The sequence below is a fragment of the Homo sapiens genome, chromosome 15, assembly GCF_000001405.40.
Source record: "Homo sapiens chromosome 15, GRCh38.p14 Primary Assembly".
Lineage (NCBI taxonomy): Eukaryota > Metazoa > Chordata > Mammalia > Primates > Hominidae > Homo > Homo sapiens.
The window spans coordinates 70902823-70923120 of NC_000015.10; the positions used below are offsets into that span (position 1 = coordinate 70902823).

General features: G+C 38.1%; 1 protein-coding gene across 5 annotated transcripts in view; it reads left to right on the top strand.

Moving 5' to 3' along the window:
- The window catches only part of LRRC49 (leucine rich repeat containing 49), a 200281-nt gene that overhangs the window by 49445 nt on the left and 130538 nt on the right, over positions 1 to 20298 (top strand). For all 5 annotated transcript variants that reach the window (NM_001284357.2, NM_001199017.3, NM_001363732.2 and 2 more), the window contains 3 exons: positions 1730 to 1933; positions 8710 to 8776; positions 16228 to 16371. In NM_001284357.2, the coding sequence (NP_001271286.1) occupies positions 1730 to 1933; positions 8710 to 8776; positions 16228 to 16371 (415 nt within the window). The remainder of the gene's footprint in view (positions 1 to 1729; positions 1934 to 8709; positions 8777 to 16227; positions 16372 to 20298) is intronic.

Here is a 20298-nt window from a genome sequence, read left to right on the forward strand (position 1 = left end):
ATGTAGCAACTCAGGAGTTTTGTAGGCCTAGAAACTCCCCTTGAGGGCAGTGGGTCTCTAGTTATTATGTATGTTTGCTTGCTTGTTTTGTTGGAGTGACAGGGGTTTGTGGGGTTAAGCAGTATACAAGTGAGCCTTGGCACTGGGACTTAACCACTGTGTTTAGAATCAGAGAAAGTGACTTTATTTCAATCTACGGTAGTTTAGGTAAGAGGGAGGATGGAGGTTATTTATTTTCCTGTCTTAGTGATGACCGATTCAAGAATTGGATGAAATAGAAGTTGGGGGGTATCAATAAGTTTAACTAAGAGAAAAAGAAAAAGACTGAAGCAGGAAAAGTGAGATGATTTAAATTTTTTGCAAAGCTGATGCACAAAGATACAAATTTTAAGGTAGAATACTTATAATTTATTAATTTATAATTTATATACTAAATTTATTGATTTATCACAGTTCTGATAAAATAGTTGGATAAAATATTGTGATAAAATAATTGAATATATGAAGTGAATTTTAAATATTCTGTGAAAAAATAATTGAATATATGAAATGAATTATAAAATTAACCACACATTAAAATAATTAAACTATTGCCCAAAATTTCCTTTTCTTTTCCTCTATCTTAAACAGGTTTCTTCAGAATCTATATTTTTAAACATCATAGATTTGTTAGCCATTAACATTCAGTTATTTTTTTTTCTGCGAATCATTCTTTTTTCTCTTTATCAGGAAGATTCTGATCACTGTCATAGTTTCACTTATGCTAGTAACACTCTGATATATTTTCTTTAAAGCTTTCATTAACTTGATTTCTACTGAAAGAGAATATTTCTAATAAACTTCCCTATTAGAGTTGTTCACACTCAGATAGAGCTGTATTTTCCTTGAGCTGTATTTTAACCTCTCAGAGTAGAATCACGCAGGACCTCATGTCTGCCCCTATTATTTTACTACTAGAATTCTTAAAGGGCCCTGAACTTATTTACTTCACGTGTAGTATGTTACAACATTTTGCATAATAGAGGCTTACTGTTTTAAATATAGCTCAAAGCATATATTTTTAAGGTTTCATCCTACCCTGTAGCACTCTAAATGTTCTGCAAAGTTCAAAGTGTTGAGCATGTAAACATATACTTAAAATCTTAGTTTCTAAGGAAATGTTAAGTAAGGACCACTTTGCCATTAATGGATCTCAGGTTGAATTTTTTTTTTTAATCAAAGTGAACTCTAGATGACTGAATTTCTTGCTCTTTTGAAGATGTCATCTGGCTCAAGAGTCTATGATTCTCTGAGATTTTTATATGTTTTTAACTCTGATGACTTAGTTGCCTGGGTAATCGTTACATCGGTGGATTGATGCCAAGGGCATTTGTCTGGTTATGTGACAAGATTCCTTCAGCCATTTAAACCTCTATCACAAAAGGAAATTATGTTGAATGTTTTCTCATGTTAAGTCAATTTCATGTGAAATAACTTATATTCGAGTTTTTTAAATACAATGAGACCTTAGACATAATTTTAATAATAAACCCTGTCAAAGTCTATTGGCTTTTTTTGTGTGAATGATTTACAATTAAATATAGGTCGCTTAGTTCATGGGGGTTGGAAGTGGTCCAACTTATTTTTTTCTCCTCACAGAATGGGAGCACAAAGATACTACTAATAATATTTGTAAGAAGAGGTAAGTGGCTGAATCATAACCTAATTAACTTTTTAACATTTTTTCTAGACAAAAGCTGACCGTATGTCCTATCATCAATGGGGAAGACCACCTTCGTTTGTTGAACTTTCAACACAATTTTATAACTCGGATACAAAATATTTCTAATCTACAGAAGTTAATATCGTTGGATTTATATGATAACCAGATTGAAGAAATTAGTGGGCTTTCGACTCTGAGATGTCTTCGTGTCCTTCTGTTGGGGAAAAACAGGTATTCTTTGTAGAGCAGTTTTTGTAGCCTAATGTTATGTGTAGGATTAATGTGGAGATGACAACTTAGAATTGAATAATACTTAAGAAATGAATAGGCTAAAATTTTTTAAAAATTATTTGAATTAGTTGAATGGATTAAGATCCAGTCATAATTTGTTTCATGAGATTCAGTATGACAATTTGTCACACCAGATAACGTTTATTATGTATTTTACTTCCATTGCTTTCCAGTGTTGTATCTTATAGGGAAGTAAATAGCAGACTTTGGCCTTGATTTTGTTTTCTTAGAACTTACTTTAGACATGTGTATTCACTTTAGGCTTATGTGTTTCACTTGTGACTCTTCCCAGTGTTTGACTGAGGGTAGACACTCGATACTTTGTGATTATCTCACAAATTGATTCTTTTTCAGACAGTAGTTTCAGTTTGTATCTAACATTACATCCTATATGAACTTTCCCAGTTCCTTTTATACAACTCTATTCCGTAGTGCAACTATACAGTTCTTGACTCATTTCTTTGAGATTCATTCACTACTTTTCATTCTATTTTACTGAATAGCTTTTGCAATGCCTACAAAGAAGGGCTTTATAGTAAAATCCAAAAATGATTTTTATATTATCAAATGAAGACTTTAGATATATATTATAACCAGGCTAGGTTCTCCTCCTCCATCTTTCCCTGCCTCCCACCCTGGCATGGGTCTTGGATTACTCGTTGCAGGAAAAAAAAGTATTATCTCTTCCTTACCCATCTCAAGGTTCATGGCCGACACTCTATAACGAAGACAGATTAACAAGAGAAAAGCATTAACAATTTATTTAATACAACTTTTACATGACACAAGAGCCCTTATAAATGAATATCCTCCAAAACAGGGAAAACTGTGTATTTTTAGGCTGAGGCTTGATAACAAGTGGACAGTATGATTGGACAAAAGGAGGTATGATCTAATGGTAATAAACTGGGGGAACTTAGCAAGGCCTATTTGTTCAGATTCTTCTTGGTGTCTCTGTGTCTTCATTCCCTTTTTTGGGGTATATTATGTATTTTACTTCCATTGCTTCCTTCCATGAGCGTCATAAGACCCTCATTCCAGAGGAATCCTGCCCTATATCCAAAAAGGGAAGGGATAGATCAGATACTTCTATCTATCTGGAAAATAGATCAGAGAATTCTTTTTATGGCCTCGGGGAGAAAGGTGAGAGAAGCTCAGACAGTGAGCTTAGGAAAAGTATCTTAAATTTAAGGTAGGGTAGGTAGATCAGAGAATTCTTTTTATGGCCTTAGGGGAGAAAGGTGGGAGAAGGTCAGAGAGTGAGCTCCCTCCATTTTTTTTTCTTTTTTTTTTTTTTTTTGAGATGGAGTCTCGCACTGTCACCAGGCTGGAGTGCAGTGGCGCCATCTCAGCTCACTGCAACCTCTGCCTCCCGGGTTCAAGTGATTGTCCTGCCTCAGCCTCCCGAGTAGCTGGGACTATAGGCACGTGCCACCATGCCCAGCTAATTTTTGTATATTTAGTAGAGATGGGGTTTCACCATGTTGGCCAGGATGGTCTCGATTTCTTGACCTTGTGATCCGCCTGCCTTGGCCTCCCAAAGTGCTGGGATTACAGGCGTGAGCCACCGCGCCCAGCCACCCAGAGATTTCTTTACTAGTTTCTGATCCTCAGAGTTACTGATTTATTTGCCTTGCTTGCAGTTATTCTTTAATATCATTATCATTATTCCCTGCTTTTAGTCCTGAGTTAATATTTTTAGTGATATTTAAAATCACTTTCTCTCGTATTTAAGCACTGCTCCTGGTTCCTACCATTTTAAGTCATCTTTCCATCTATTCTATTTTCCTATTTGTACTTTTCAGCTTCTCTGGCTTCTTAGAATTTACTCATTAAGTTGTTGTTTTTGTTTTTGTTAACTTGTGCCTTGAAGGTACCAGTCTATCTGAGCTTCTGACTTTATTTAAGGTCTTTTTGTTCTTTCAACTCTAAGAGACTTAATGCCTTTCTACTATGTCATTATTTAGTGAAGTAAAAGCAATCTAATGCTGTGTCTTTTTCCTCTTTCTACTCCTCCATCTTTTTTATTTGTTATTTGTTTGGTTTTAATCTTATTTTATTTTTCACATAAAGGAATAGCTGTGGAACAGTTCTAGAACTATTAGTGTTCTTGAATCAAAAAGAAAATGAGTCAGAAGAAAACTTTCCATATTCTCCCCTATTGCATGTTTTTCAAGTGTCAGTGAAATGCAAGTCTGAGCCCTAAAACAAATGCCAAGTGGCCTCCAGCCAGCTGACTTTGTCACAGCAAGGGGCCTGTGAGCTGTGAAGATGGAAATCTGTCCTGGGTTAGTACTTTGTGAACATTAAGCAAACCTGGCTGAGGATGCTGGTAAAGAGGGAAGTACATCTGCTACCCTGTCTCTTCATGCATTTGTGTTAAATGACTTGTTGCTTCCTGTTGGTCAAGTTCAGAAAGCTTTCTCCTTCCCACATTACAAAGCTCTGCATTGCCTTTTGGTCCAAGGCAGTGGAACCATATATGGAAATCCAGGGCAATCATGCCTCTGGGTTCAGGCAACTCCAACAAAGATTTCTACTCTAAAGCTAAGAAAGAACCTTGCTCAGGTTCTGTATGTGAGGTTTCCGTTGATACTAAAGAACTCCCGACCCCACATTGCTGTCAAAGTTCTTATTCTCTAATTGTTCTGCCTTCAGTATCTCCTGCTTATCCTCTCCAGGTCCTCTGCCACCCTCGTCATTACAGGCTAATGCATAGAACTTCTCTGCATTTTCTTCTGATCACCCAGGATTATAGATCAAAACTCTTAGAACCTGGGATTCTCTGTTTCCTTCCTTTTGACTCCTTGAAGTTTCCCACTTAAGGATTTGTTTCTGACACCTGAAAAGCTAAGCCTTCATATAGGTCCTGTAGTGAGGTCTTTATCCTGGCATCAGTAACATAATGTGGCCTGCGGAGACAGGCTGTGATATATCCCTAGAGGCCTCAGGTGATGGGTGAGCCTCATCTTTTTCTAGTTTCAGTTTCTATTCAATGGAAGAACTTCTTTTTTAAATAAATCTTTCAGGTCACATTGGTGTTAACGTAAAAATGGTCAAATTTGGGGGCACTGGCTAGGATTCTGCAAATTCCTCACATCAATACCTAATCTGACCAGTAGGGGCCTTCTAGGTCAACTGATGCCTTCATTTACCTCTGAATTCTTTAGAATTGGGTAAGTTTTTAGGTCATTTCAGGTGTTGGGGGGTGGAAAGAGAATTTATGCCAAAGGCAACTCATGAGAACAAGAGAGCAAGATGTTTGGTTGGTCTTGGGTTTAACTGATTGAACGACTTGGCTGTTTTTCTTCCTGTTCACCTGGGCGATCCGAATCTGATGTGAGAGTCATAAAGCAGCTATGTGTCAAAGCTAACGAATACCAGAAGTCATGTTATAGCCCAATGGGTTCTTCTTGCCTGCTGCACAGAAAAGCCAATACACTGAGACAGCAGGTGTTGCAACTGAGTAAGAGTTTAATAATCACAAGGCAGTCAAGTGAGGAGGATGGAGGAGGAGATATTTCTCAAATCTGCCTCCCTAAGAAGTTGGAGACTAGGATTGTCAAGGGTTGTTTGGCAGGCAGGAGGCTAGGGAATATGGGTTCTGCTTATTGGTTGGATTGGGGATGGAATCACAGGGAGGTTGAAACTGTCTTCTTGCACTGAGTCAGTGCCTGAGTAGAAATCACCAGTCTGGGTGGTGTCAGTTGGTCTACCAGAATGTGAAAATATATCTGAAAAATATCTCAAACACTAGTCTTAGGTTTCACTAACAATGTTATTTATAGGGGAAATTGGAGAAGTCACAAACCTTATTACCATTGGCTCTGTGATTCCTGAGCAGTAAGCAATTACAAAAAGGTAGGTTAGAAAACAATGACTGATTATCATTTAATTATGCCTCCGTATTAGCAGAATTCAGGCCCCTAACATAATTCTAACCTTATCATCTTTCATTAGTTTTATGAAGATGTTTTTGGTTCCTGAACAAAGATGAGGTTAGTTTCAGGAAGGGACTGTTATCATCCTTGGTTTAAAGTTAAACTGTAAACTAAATTTTTCTCATAGTTAGCTTGGCCTATGTGCAGGAATGAGCAAAGACAGTTAGCTTGTATGATTAGAAGCAAGATGGAGTCAGTTATGTTAGATTTCTCAATTTTGCAAAGGTGGTTGCAGTCACAACAGATAGGGAGTGAATATGTGAGGCCCTGGTGGAATTCTGAGGGAATACATACTGCACATGATGGTTTCTCTGATTGAAGGGCCTTAAAGGTGCTCAGGATTTCTCATAAAGACAGAAACAGACTACATTGATTCTTCAAATCGGAGAACTTTGGGGTGATACAATCTCCATTATCCCTGATGTATAATTTTCAAGGTGTTAAAAATATGATTCTCAGACAAATAGTAATCACAGGCCAGCATTTTAATTAATTCAATAATATAGGAACCAGCAGGATGACAAAGCTGGTTCAAAGGAGAGTAAGAGGAACTCATAAATAGTCAGTGTTTTTACAAGCACTCTGGGTGATTCTGATAAATCCAGAAATTTGAGAACCACTGTTTTAGGGAATGTGAACTTGGAAGTATAAAATAATGGAATAAAAGGCTTCTCTAATAGCTATTAGAAAGCATGGCTCTGTCCTAAGCTGTATGATTACAGTACTATAATTTTCTGCAACTGTTGTAGGTATCTCAGGAGCAAAGCAGGCAAAGGAAAAATTGTGTTGAAAGTTGTACCTGGGCTGGGCGCGGTGGCTCATGCCTGGAATCCCAGCACTTTGGGAGGGTGAGGCAGGCGGATCACCACGTCAAGAGATCAAGACCATCCTGCCCAACATGGTGAAACCCCGTCTCTACCAAAACTACAACAATTAGCAGGGTGTAGTGGCTCGCACCTGTGGTCCCAGCTACTCGAGAGGCTGAGGCAGGAGAATCACTTGAACCTGAGAGGCGGAGGTTGCAGTGAGCTGAGATTGCGCCACTGCACTCCAGCCTGGTGACAGGGCGAGACTCCATCTCAAACACACACACACACACACACACACACACACACACACACAAAACAAACAAAAAAAGAAAGTTGTAGCTGTTTTCCCATCTGGTTGGGCTATTAATTTAGCTATTTGAGAGATTTAAATTCTAGATAGGATAGTATTAAATGCCTGGCACTAGGTGAAGGCTAGTGAAAGAGTCCAGTGAGTCCGGAAGAATGCTGATGATTTGGATGAAGTGAGGTAGGAATAGGGTACAGATTCTGTCAGGGTGATGATGTGAGAGGAGACTGATGAGGAGGTGGTGGTCATAAGGCAGTGTGGTATGTGCGTGTGTGTGATAAGGGAGTGAAGAAGATCTACAGCTACATAGCGATGATACATGGTGGGCATATGAGAAATATTTTTATAAATTAAATTGGATTGAATTGGCTTGTGGTAGTAAAATTCTTGATTTGGCAATGATATAACTGAGATAAAGTGGAGACAGAAATTAATGAAGTTTAAGTCTGCATTATGTTTACATGGTAATGATCAGTATGTATGTATATACATACACACTACATATATATATCACATATATACACACTATATATAGATAACATGTATATTATTCAATGGATGATCCAAGTTCTGAAAACAGAGAGGTGGAAGTGGTTCTTTGAGGCAGTAAACAAGGACAACGAAAATAGATGGTGATAAATATATGGTGATAAAGATGGGTTGTATGAACTTAATTTGTTGTTCTTTTTTTGCCATTGCTCCCATCTGGCATATCAAAAATTTCAAATAAATATAAGCATTTTACAAACTGAGCAGGTCCCAGTAGAAAGCATTTAGGTGGTATGCAGTTTGTCTCTGTCATAAAGGATCCTATTATGAATACCCTTGTGCGTACAACTTATTCATTTAGTTAGTATGTTCGTTCATTCATTAAACTAATATTTATTGGGTACCTACTTGGCACCAGGCACTGTTATGAGTGCTGGGGATAGAGTAGAGAACATGTCAGAATGTCCTTTTAAAGCTCACATTTTGATTTGGCAAGAGAGATTTTTTAAAAATATAAACACAAAATAATACAATTTTAGGCTACGATCAATTCTGTGAAGTCAAAGCAGAAAAAGGAAAGAGTAATGGGGACAGGAAGGGAAAGGTATTTTAAATATGGTCATCTGGAAGCAACTTTGAAGAGTTGTTTGATCTGAGACCTGAATAATGTGAAGTTTTGAGGGAAGAACATTAGGGGAGTAGGAACAGCAAGAATAAATACCCTAAGGTGGAAATGTACTTGCCAGGTTAGAGACACAGCAAGAATGCCTCTGTGGCTGGAGCAGAGTGAGTGAGCGAGCCTGTGGTAGGAGATAAGGCTGGCTGAAAGGTCAGCAGCCAGGTTAGTGCCTTGTAGGCAGAAGTAAGGAGTTTAGATTATATTCTAATGTGAAGAACTGCCTTGAATAAGTGCCTTGACTTAAGGTTCTTAGACATAGGATTGCTCTTTTCTAATGATGTGACATTTAAACTCTCTTTCTCTTGAGTGGTATTGCATTTTTTTTAAATTATAATAAATCAGAGGGAAATATATTATTGTTGAATATATATATAACTATATATGTAGATAGAGTAAATTAAAATGAGTTACACCTTTATGCCTTAGCATACTTTGATTTACAGATAGATGTGATACATCCGTATTTCTATTCTACTTATTCTGGTTTTCAGAATCAAGAAAATCTCAAATCTGGAGAATCTAAAAAGCTTAGATGTCTTGGATCTTCATGGAAATCAGGTATTGTAAAGCCCTTTCATTTCTTTCTTTTTTGAAAAAAAGTCCAGGAAAATGGTATAAAAGTTTTAAGAATCATACTCGCATTGAATTTTTCAAGAGTTTCTTTATTGATTCACTGAAATTTCTAAGGTATCAAGCTTATTTATAGAAGATTTGGTAACTCCTCAGCAGTACATGACAGATACAGCTTATAAAACATTTCAAATTCTTATAGTTATGACAATTTTGTTTTTTATTAACTTATTTTTAAAGTACACATTTTGCAACCCCAATCCAAGACCTAGAATATTACTGACTTTCTTCTACTTAGGTATTTGTTTTTTTATTCCATCTCCTTATTTCTGCATCACAGGTAACCACTATTTTAGGTTTCATGCTTTTCATTCCTTTTTGGGTTTTTCAGTTGGTTTTATCACATATAGGTGTGTCTTAATAATATATCCTTTAGTAGTATTGTCTCTTAATTTAAAAAAGGTATACTATATGTTGTCATCTAGTGTTTACTTTTTGAATACAGCATTATATTACTGAGATTTAACTATTTCAAGTAGCTATAGTTTTATTTATAGTTGTATGTTCCATGGTAAGACTATACAAAAACTTTTTGCTCCAGTTTCTTATTGATAGACATTTGGATTGTTTCCTGTTTTTATTGTTGTTGTTGTCTGTTTGTTTTATCTTGTTTTTTGCTATTATGAATAGTACTTCTAAGAACTTTCTTGTACAAGTCTCCTGTTCTTCATATTCCATATGTACTCTAGAGTATATAGGAGTGAAACTGATGAGTCATAGGCTATTTAAATGTTTAACTTTAAAAGATAATGCCAAATTGCTTTCCAGAGGGATTGTACCAGTTTGTACTCGTACCACTAATACATAATCATGTTGCTTCCTATTCTTTTCAACATTTTGATTTGTCAGACTTCTTAATTTTTTTCTGATTGAATTGGTATAAAGTGGTATCACTTTGTGGTTTTGATTTCTATTTTCCTGATTACTATATAATCTGGGCTCCCAATTATGTTCAATTTGTCTATTCCTGTATCTGTCTGAATTTCTATATTTATTTTATTTATTTATTTATTTATTTATTTTTGAGACGGAGTCTTGCTCTGTCGCCCAGGCTGGAGTGCAGTGGTGCAATCTTGGCTCACTGCAAGCTCCGCCTCCCGGGTTCACGCCATTCTCCTGCCTCAGCCTCCTGAGTAGCTGGGACTACAGGTGCCCGCCACCATACCCGGCTAATTTTTTTGTATTTTTAGTAGAGACAGGGTTTCACCATGTTAGCCAGGATGGTCTCGATCTCCTGACCTCGTGATCCACCTGCCTCGGCCTCCCAAAGTGCTGGGATTACAGGCATGAGCCACCGTGCCCAGCTCTATATCTATTTTTTTATGTTCCCTCTCTTTATTCTTCTCTGTCAGATCATATTGGCTGTTTTTCAGTCCTTTGCTCATCCATTTAAATATTTGTCTTTGAAATGTAATATTTATAAATAGTTACATGAGCTACATACTTATGCAGAATGTAAAGTCTCTTCTGCAGTGATAAGCCTACATCCTGGGATGATCGGGGAATCCCTGCCTGTTGATGAACAAGATCTTTCACAGCTGCTTACAGTTGGTCAGGTGAAAACCTCAGTGTGGTCTCTCTAGGCTTTCTAACAGCTGTTAGTTCCAGTAGTTTTGGTGAAAAGCTAATGTAATTAATAAAAACCTTGATAGATTTAATAGGCCACATCTATTAGGTTCGAATCTAGTTCAGCCTGATGTGTTTGTCTGTGTGTGCATGTAGTAAGTGGGAGGAGTGTTGGTGGCCTGGGAATTGTCTGGCTCTGCAGGTTAGTTACTGTCTGTCCAACAGAGGGGAAGTTATCCAGTTAGATGGTGCTAGAAGGGGAAGAAGAATTAAAGAGTATTGACAGTAAAAGAATATCATATGCAAAGGCACTGAGATGGAAAACAACACAGTAAGTATTTACCACCAGAGAACAGAGCATGTGTGGAAGGATGCTGAGAGAAGAGACTAGAAAGGTAGGCAACGGCCAGATTGTGGAGGGCTTTGTATGCCAGGCAAATTAATTGGTGTTTTATCCTGTATTTTAAAAACTGTTTATAACTATAAATGAAACATTTTATGATAGCAGTATTTTTCTTGTTTATTTTAAAGTGTATACATGAGAAATAATAAACATATGATTTTCAAATTCTAATATATCTTTAAGAGTTTGTGAGTACTACCCAAGATCTTCAAGAGCACCTGATAAATGAATACCATATCATTTGATCTGTACCTTATGTATAGGCATTATTTACCAATCATTATGTTGATGAAAAATGTCTGTTCCTTGTTAGCTGACCTGTGTTATATATTTTATAATTTCAGCATATGTTTGTGATATTGTGTGTGTTAAAATTAAACATTTGTAGTGCACAAATTACTTCTCAAGGTTCTTCCAGTTATAGAACCTTGAGAAGTAATTTGTGCAGTACAAATGTTCTATAACTGGAAGAAGAAAGTTTTAAATGAAAATCTGAGTCTTGTTTCATAATATATGAATCCAAATAGCAAAAATTCACAGTATTTCAAAGCAAAGATACAGTCTTAGTTACCTTAGGTTTCTAAAAAGCCAGGAAGGAACTATTCTAGATGAAACAACTAATGTCCAATTCTAAAAATTTAGCATCTTATAGTAAAGAAGCTAAAAGACATTAAGTGAATGTTTTTTGTCTTTTGAATTTACTTCTATTGGTAATAAAAATATGCTTGGTGCACATTGTGAAATAAAACATAATTGGTTTATGGATGTGAAATCATTCTGAGTAATGATGATGGTGTTCAGGAAATGGATTGGGAAGTAGAGATGGAAGGAGGGGAAATGGAGACAAAACAGTTGGGAGAAACTAATTACAATAATCTTGGCGAGAAGTGATGGTGGCATGAACTAAAGTAGTAGCAATAAGGATATGATAAGGGGGCAGATTGGATAAATATTTAAAAAGTAGAAACATCAAGACTTAGCAATTAATTATATATGAGTAGTGAATACAGAGGAATCTAGGAGGTTGAGTAGGAATTTCTAACCTAGAGCTTGTGTTGGTTAACCATAATTTTTTCTCTCAGTGAATTTTTGCTTTAACATAGACACAGATGTGCTTCAAGAAGAATCTGTTCTTTCAGTGATCTCTTTTCCTCCAGGGAGAGCCTGCTATTTCTGTGGCTGCTTACCTGAAAGCAAACACTTGCCTTTTCTGTATTGGTAGGTAGGAAGGTTATCTTTATCCAGGCAGAGCAATCTAGGTTACTCTCATACACAAAGGTTAAGACTGGAGTATCCAGCTTTCCTAGATGTATTAAGAAGCCTTGCAGACTATATTGGGACACTCTCTGATCTGTATGACCCATAAATGGGCTTTCCAACATTCCCATCATCTTTTTTCTTGCTGTGAAGTATATCAATCAATCAAGACCTATGCTGTCACTTTATACAACCCTTTGCCTGAAGCTTCTATTATCTGCTTTATGCTTGTGACTTTGTCCATGGCTGTAACGAGTAATTGACTTTATTCCATAGCAGATGTTGTACATGATTCTGGCCTGTTGGGTTGCAAACCAAGAAGCCAGATAATATTCTTAGTGATTTTTAAAATATGGGTCTATATACAAGAATTAACCATGTTTCTTTTCAGACTTTTCTAACTAGAAGGTAACTAAATGCAGGCATTCTAATTGTAAGCCCCACCAGGACCATGTGGAAGGGTAGTTTTCTAAAAGAAATGTCCAGAACTATTAGCAGAAGGGAGAAAACACACCGTGCAGATCATACAATTGTCCCCCATAACTCTATATATTTATATATTTCTTGAGCTCAGGAAAGTTTTCTATATTTAAACACTGCTTCTTTTCCATTTATGTTTGTTATATCTGTATTGTTTGTCTTCCATCTCTCCATCTTATCTTTTATTCTTCCTCTCTGTTTTTCCTTAGCATTTTGGGAGGATTTCTAAGCTTGCGCTGACATTACTGATTACTTTTTCTACAGTATCTATTTTCCTTTTTACTGGCTTCTTGCATTTTAAATTCTATCACCTGTTTAGTTTTAAAATATTTTACTCCATGTCTTATTACACAGTTTTATCATCTGTTAATACTCATAATCTTGTTTCTTTTTCAACTTTTATATAATTTTATCTTTACATTAGTTAAATCAAAAATCTTAAAACACATTTTAAACGTGGTCATAGGTTACTTTTATATATTATTGAATTTATAATAAACATGTTTCTTTTCTGGAAACTGGATGGAACCTAGATGGTGTTTCTTGAATATAAGAGTGTCCAAATAACAATGTGAAATATAGATTAGACATCTGAGAAAAGTTCTTTTAGCTAACATCTGCTTTGAAGTGTTAGTAAGAAATTTCAAATATACTGTGATGGCAATACAAATGAGCAAATTAATCTCTAGTGATTGTGAAATTCATTTTAATGTTCATCAGGTTTATGAAGTCCTCCATGAGGACTTCTATTTTGTGTCATGCAGAAACTCATCCCATTGTGCTACACTTGCTCTATTATAATAGTGGGGCTTAACATCACTTTGAGCTCTCATCACTTCACAGTGTTAGTTTTTACTTACCCTCTCCTTAGTGTGCAGCTCAAACTTCTCTGCTGCAGTTCAGTGCTGATTATTTATTATTATTATTATTATTTTTGAGGTGGAGTTTCGCTCTGTCGCCCAGGCTGGAGTGCAGTGGCGTGATCTTGGCTCACTGCAACCTCTGCCTCCTGGGTTCAAGTGATTCTCTTGCCTTAGCCTCCTGAATAGCTGGGATTACAGGCCCATGCCACCACACCTGGCTAGTTTTTGTATTTTTAGTAGAGACAGGGTTTCACCATGTTGGTCAGGCTGGTCTCAAACTCCTGACCTCAAGTGATCCACCTACCTCAGCCTCCCAAAGTACTGGGATTACAGGTGTGAGCTACCGCGCCTGGCCTCAGTGCTGATTATTAACGGCAGCAGCAGGCCATCTGGAGTGGCTGCTGCCATCAGGCCAGCTGCAGCAGGGAGGCGTGGCTGGGGCTGTGGGCTCCATGGAGCCAGGTGGACCTGGGGACAAGTGGGAGCCCTGCCCCTTCCGAGTTGGGGCGGGAGCTCCCCGGGTGCTGCTGCAGCCACTCAAGTCACGGCTGCAGACCTGGGCATCCCTGTGCTGTTGGGGCCAGGAAGCAGGCAGGAGCCCCGCCCTCCTGGGTACAGCTGCAGCCTCCCAAACTGCAGCTGTGGACCCAGGCATCTCTGCACTCTTGGGGACGCAGAAAGTACCCCCCAACCCTCACTCTCCCGACAGGTTCTGAAGTGTTTGTTTCTGCTGTCTGGCTTCTCCCTGCTGTTGGTGCCTGCTCCAATCTCAGAGCAAAGTTGTGGTTGAGCCTGGGTGCTGTGGCAGCCTGGCCAAGTGTGCACATGCTTGGGGCAGTGCTTACACACCAGTCCCTTGCCACCTCAGCTCCCTCTGAACTTTTGGTGCCAACAAGCATAGAAGGGAATCTGAGGGGGGCTGAGGGCAGCTAGGTGCTGGCCTGCAGGTGCCCCTTCATACTTATAGCCTGGGCACCATGAACAGCAGCAGGAAGCAGACAGTTGCCTGAGCAGAAGGGGGCAGGTCCCTGGTGACTCCCTACCTTCAGGCCAGACTGCCACTCCCACCGACTGGAGTGGGAACTTGTGGTACCTTTTCTGGGCCTGCCTGTGGCCGCCCATGGGCCAATCAGCACTCACTTCCTCTACCCTGAAGCCCATAAAAGCCCTGGACTCAGCCAGTGCTGAGCAGACATTGGGATAACCAGCTGTAGAGAGGACCAAAGTACTCTAGGGCCCTCTCTCTGTTGACAGCTGTAGAGACATTGGGATGACCATCTGCAGAGAGGAGCAACTCACTCTAGGGCTTCCTCTCTGCTGAGAGCTGCAGAGTTGATGGGATGACCAGTTGCAAAGAGGGGCTGCCCTTTCTGCTGATAGCTGAACACTTGTCAAGATGACTTTCCTAGTACAGAGGAGCTACCCTCTCTGCTAGGAGCTGAACACTCATCAGAACACCCTGGCTGTGGAAAGGAGCTGCTCCCTGTGGGTTTCCTCTGAGCTGTTCTATCACTTAAGAAGCTCCTCTTTGTCTTGCTCACCCTCCACTTGTCTGCATACCTCATTCTTCCTGGTCGCAGGACAAGAACCTGGGACCCACAGAATTTGGGACCCCAGAATGGCAAGGCTAAAAGAGCTATAACACAAACAGGGCTGAGACATGCCCCTTGCTCGCCATGTTGCAGGCAAAGAGAAGGAAACTGTGGCCCTTCAGGTCACCTAGACTTGAGAGCTCCCCAAGCCAGGGCTGTGACTCCCTCTTTGGGACCCTGCGGTTCCTCGCATATCCAAGCTTCCGAGTGCCACTGTGTTCTCAGTGCCAGCTGTGGAAGCTGCTTGCAGTGTTCCTGGTCCAGCCATAGCCTCGCAGAGAGCTGGTGCCTGTGCCAGCACCTGGAGCTGCCTGCCCTGCTGTAGCAGCCAGCATGTCTGACTGTGCACAGTGGCCAGACCCCATGCTCACTCACACTCCCTTCTCAGTTCCACACCTGACTTGCCCTTAGCAGGCGTGGGACCCAGGCCAGTAGCATGAGCTGAGTGCAGCCTGCCAGGGTGGGTAGGCAAAATGAGCCCAGCGGGCCAGAGCAAAACTTGGGCAAAGGTACCACTGGCCACAGAGGTTTCTGGTCAGAAAAATGACACCCCAAAGATCCTGTAACATTATATGTACATGCATATTCCATGATTCAAGTCCTCTTGTTTTAAACAATGTTCACCATTTTGTACCCTCACTAAACATCTTCCATCCTTATTAATGGAACAGCTTTCCATTAATTAAAAAAAAATTAACCTCATCTTCTACTGGGAATCCTAGTTCCTTGACTCTTTCCATTCAGACTCGACTGCTCTCAAGATCTTGCAGTTTAAATAGAATTAATAAGGGTAACTTGATGTCATTCCTTTCCCTTGCCTTTTCTGTCAGAGGGCAGACTTGCTTTGTTAAAACATGATGAGCTTATGCCTTGGGATCACAGTATGTTTCTATTTGGCAGGTAGTATGTAGCCTTCACAGAACCTGGGACAGACTGGGCACGTAAAGTTGCCCAATGGACTCATTGACTATTTGATGACGTTTACGTCAAGTGTTTACTATGGTCAAATTGTAAAATATGATCTTTTAGCTAATGTTCACAAGTTACGTGACTTCATGTTATCTACAGCATAGGAAATTGAAAATAGATTTTTAAATGTCTACATATAAACTTGCCACTAAATCTAGTGACTTCGAATATTTTATTTTTAGGGTTTTTAGAACATGTATATTTCAGGTTTTTGCCTGCTAATCACCCTTCTCCTATTTTCTTTAACAGATTACCAAAATTGAAAATATTAATCATTTGTGTGAGTTGAGAGTTTTAAATCTTGCCAGGAACTTTTTAAGTCATGTTGATAATCTTAATGGGCTGGATTCACTAACTGAACTTAACTTGCGACACAATCAAATCACTTTCGTGGTGAGTATTAAAATGGAGTTGATATGTACTTTGTGGCTTTCTTTCAAGGAATTGAAACAAATGTTGTAATATGGCTTTCTGCAAAGTAAGAATCTACGGTTATTTAGGTTTTTTCTGAATTTAAATTGTGGATGTAATTATTAAGCTCTGTAATATGTTGGTTTGGGAGGTATTGAGGTATTTTCCATTTTAAAGAATAAATATAATGTTAGAAACACAACAGAAGTGTTATCACTAAATGAATCATTTGGTGTAAATGAGTAGTAAACCCTCTTCTGTTTTGTCATGGGTATAGAATTAATAAGAAAGAGGGTTATTTGTGACTGAAAGTTGAGAAATTATTGTACCAAGAGGGAAAAGGCACAGAGAGGAGAGATTGAGAGTTGTGAAGATACACATACTGTATGCTTTGCAGTTTTTAAAGAGGAGCTTGGTATGGTGGGAAAAGCATTGCACAGGGCATCAGAGGCCTAGTTATGGTCTTAGCTTCATCTCTCATTAGCTGTGTGACCTTGGGTAAATCACAACTCTCTTGGCCTCAGTTTAGCTTTTTCTAAAATGAGGACATTGGACCAGTTTGACTCTAGGGTGTTTTTTGGTTTATTGACTCTGAAAAAAGACATGAAGATGGTAGAGAACTGGCATGTGAGCAGGAGGAAAAAGAGTTCGATTGTGGGGGCAAAACTACACAAAAGGGGATTCTGGAACTCTGAGATGAACTTTGTCAAATTTATGATTTTGCTGAAGGTCAGCAACTAAATAGAAGCTTGATGCTGAGATATTTTGTATTCGTACATATGTGAAGAGCATTAGAAATATAACTGTTCTGCTTTGTGATATGATACAGCTAATGAGGAACATTATTTGCTCTTTTAAGAAGTTTCCTTTGTTTAAATGCTATAGAAAAACTGCTTTAAGTTCTCTCTGGTATCATTTATGCACTTTGAAAGACACAATATAACTCTTAGCTGTTTCAATACCTTGAGTTCCCTTGTAAAGAACTAAGTGTACTATAAATGGTACACTTGAAAAGGCTGGGGGACAGAGGATACCTTATTTATAGGTCTCATCGTACAGATTGGTTTTATTTTGAAGGTTTCCCAGAAAATATGAGTCAGGTAATACTCATCTCTTCTAGAAGGTTAGAATAATTTTAGCATGCTATCCAAGACACAGATTTATTCCAGAACTTCTAAATTCTGTCAAGCCCTTCCCAGATTAGATACAATACTGGAACTGGACTGTTTATTTAGAAGACATTCAGATTGGGTTAACCTGTTATGTTGCTAAATCTCCAAGAACTGCTCAGTCAGGACTTAGTTTGTCCTTAGGACCTTGGGTCTGGTAAGATTCCAAAAAGCTTTGTTAGAGTAGGGAACAGGAATCTATTGGCCCTAGCATATTCCTGCCTATATTTTGGCTTTCATTTGGAAAGTGCATAATGCATATTTAGGAAATTGCTTACTGAATTTCCCGTTGAGTATTATGTTTAATCATTACTGTTATAGTTTAGGCAGCAGTAAACAACTTATGGAAGAGGAAATTGTATTAATTTCTAAAAGTTAAGAAGACAGTAGTAAGTATCATGCATATTAATTACAGTCAATTGTGAAATTTGCTATATATCAAATTTACTATATCCATATATTGTGAAATATATGGACAAATAAACTTCATCCAACTCATTTCTTTTTCAAAGCATCTCTTTTTTAAAAGATTCAAGGGACTTTAAAATCTGAGAATACTTCTCTTCCATCATTTTTTTCTCCAGTATCAGTTACCACACTTATTCTTCTTGCTTTTTTTTCTTTCATGGTTTTGATTTTCCTCAGTAGCTGGTAATCTTTAAATGAAGGACCATGTTAAGGAGTATCTGGGTATCCTGTGCAGTTGAATAGATCTTTTTAACCATAAGATCTCACTCTAGAATAATCACTAGATTTGTGTAAGTTCTTGAATCCCACACATTTGTGAACTTCCCTTTAGGGTAAGTGAAAGGGAAAGTCACTCAGTGACTGCCAAAATAAGACTTTACTTTCAGGGGTAGAAAGACTTTGTTTTCATTTGTGCCAGGTGAAACTGCCATTTCTTTTTTCCCTCTGATTCTTATGTAGAGGTGGTTAATAATCTCTATAGATAAAACACCCACACTTTCCACCCTTTTTTGACAAATACTCTATTTTGTTTGGAGAACAGTTCCTTAGGCTCTAGCTGAGGATTTCTTTAGCCAGATGCTCTGTACATGTTTATGTTCATGACAGAAGTGGGAGTGGGTGGGTTTGTTGGTATTCCAAAAATAGCTGTTGAGTAGACAGATCTTTGATTATACACTACTTGATTCAGCACAGTTCACCGTAGTCCATGCCTGCTCATTGTATGCACTGACCCAGCATGGAGTAAGATGGCATTCAGTCAGAAAGAATTGCTGGCTTTGAGTGCAGCATCTCTCTTGCAGTTCTGAGCTGCAGTTCTCTCTGCTCAGGGTTATCTCAGTAAGATCCCATCAGCTTTTCAGCTGCTTGAACTTCATCAGAAGTGTTGGTCAGATGATGATAACTCTTTTGTTAGGGTTTTCATGAATGTACTCATTTGTGTGTATTTTTATTGCTTCACCCATTGAATCTTGGAAAGAAGGTGAAACAAATGCAACCTACTTACCGTCTTGAACAGACACCTTCTCTGATGTTTTTGATGTAGAAAAGTTATTGCTTGTTTATTTACCAATCTTTGTTTTTGAAATTTTATAAATTTCAAACCAAGTATTTTTAGTTTGTATGGCATCTTTCTCTTTAAAAATTATGAAGTGTCTTATATCCAAAAGACAGGCAATAACAAATGCTGGCAGGAATGTGGAGAAAAGGGAACCCTTGTACATTGTTGGTGGGAATGTAAATTAGTACAACCACTGTGGAAAACAGTTTGGAGGTTCCTAAAAAAAACTAAAAATTGAGCTACCATATGATCCAGCAGTCCTACTGTTGGGTATATTTCCAAAAGAAAGGAAGTCAGGACATGGAAGAGATATCTGCATCCCTATGTTTGTTGCAGCACTGTTTACAATAGCTAAGATTTGGGAACAACCTAAGTGTCCATTAACAGATGAATGGATAAAGAAAATGTGGTACATATACACAGTGGAGTAGTATTCAGCCATAAAAAAGGATGAGATCCAGTCATTTGCAACAACATGAATGAACTGGAGATCACATTAACCGAAATAAGCCAGGAATGGAAAAACACATATCGCATGTTCTCACTTATTTGTGGGATCTAAAAATCAAATCAATTGAACTCATAGACATAGAGAGTAGGAGGATGGTTATCAGAGGCTGAGAAGGGTAGTGGGGGGTTGAGGGGAGGTGGAGATGGTTAATGGGTACAAAAAAATAGAAAGAATGAATGAAACCTACCATTTGATAGCACAATAGGGTGACTATAGTCAATAATAAATTAATTGTGTATTTTAAAATAATGTAAGTGGATTGTTTGTAATTCAAAAGATAAATGCTTGAGGGGATGGATACGCCGTTGTCCATGATGTGCTTATTACACATTGCATGCCTGTATCAAAACAGCTCATGTACCCCATAAATACCTATACCTACTAGGTACCCACAAAAATTTAAAATTAATAAAAAATTTTAAAGCAAAAAATTAATAAAACTCAAAAAAACCTGAAACATTTCAGATATCCCCAAAATAATAGGAACTAATATTACCAACATTTGTATATATCTTTTATTTTATCTGTTGCTGTCTCAAGTTTTGTGTTGGATATTTCATATATTAGTTTTCAGTCTTTTAAATTTTCTCATAAAAGCATTTAAGCCTATAAATTTCCCTCTAAAAATCACTTCAGCTTCTTCCCATAAGTCTTGAAATTTAGTATTTTTCTTATTATTTAGTTCTAAACATTTTGTAAGTTCC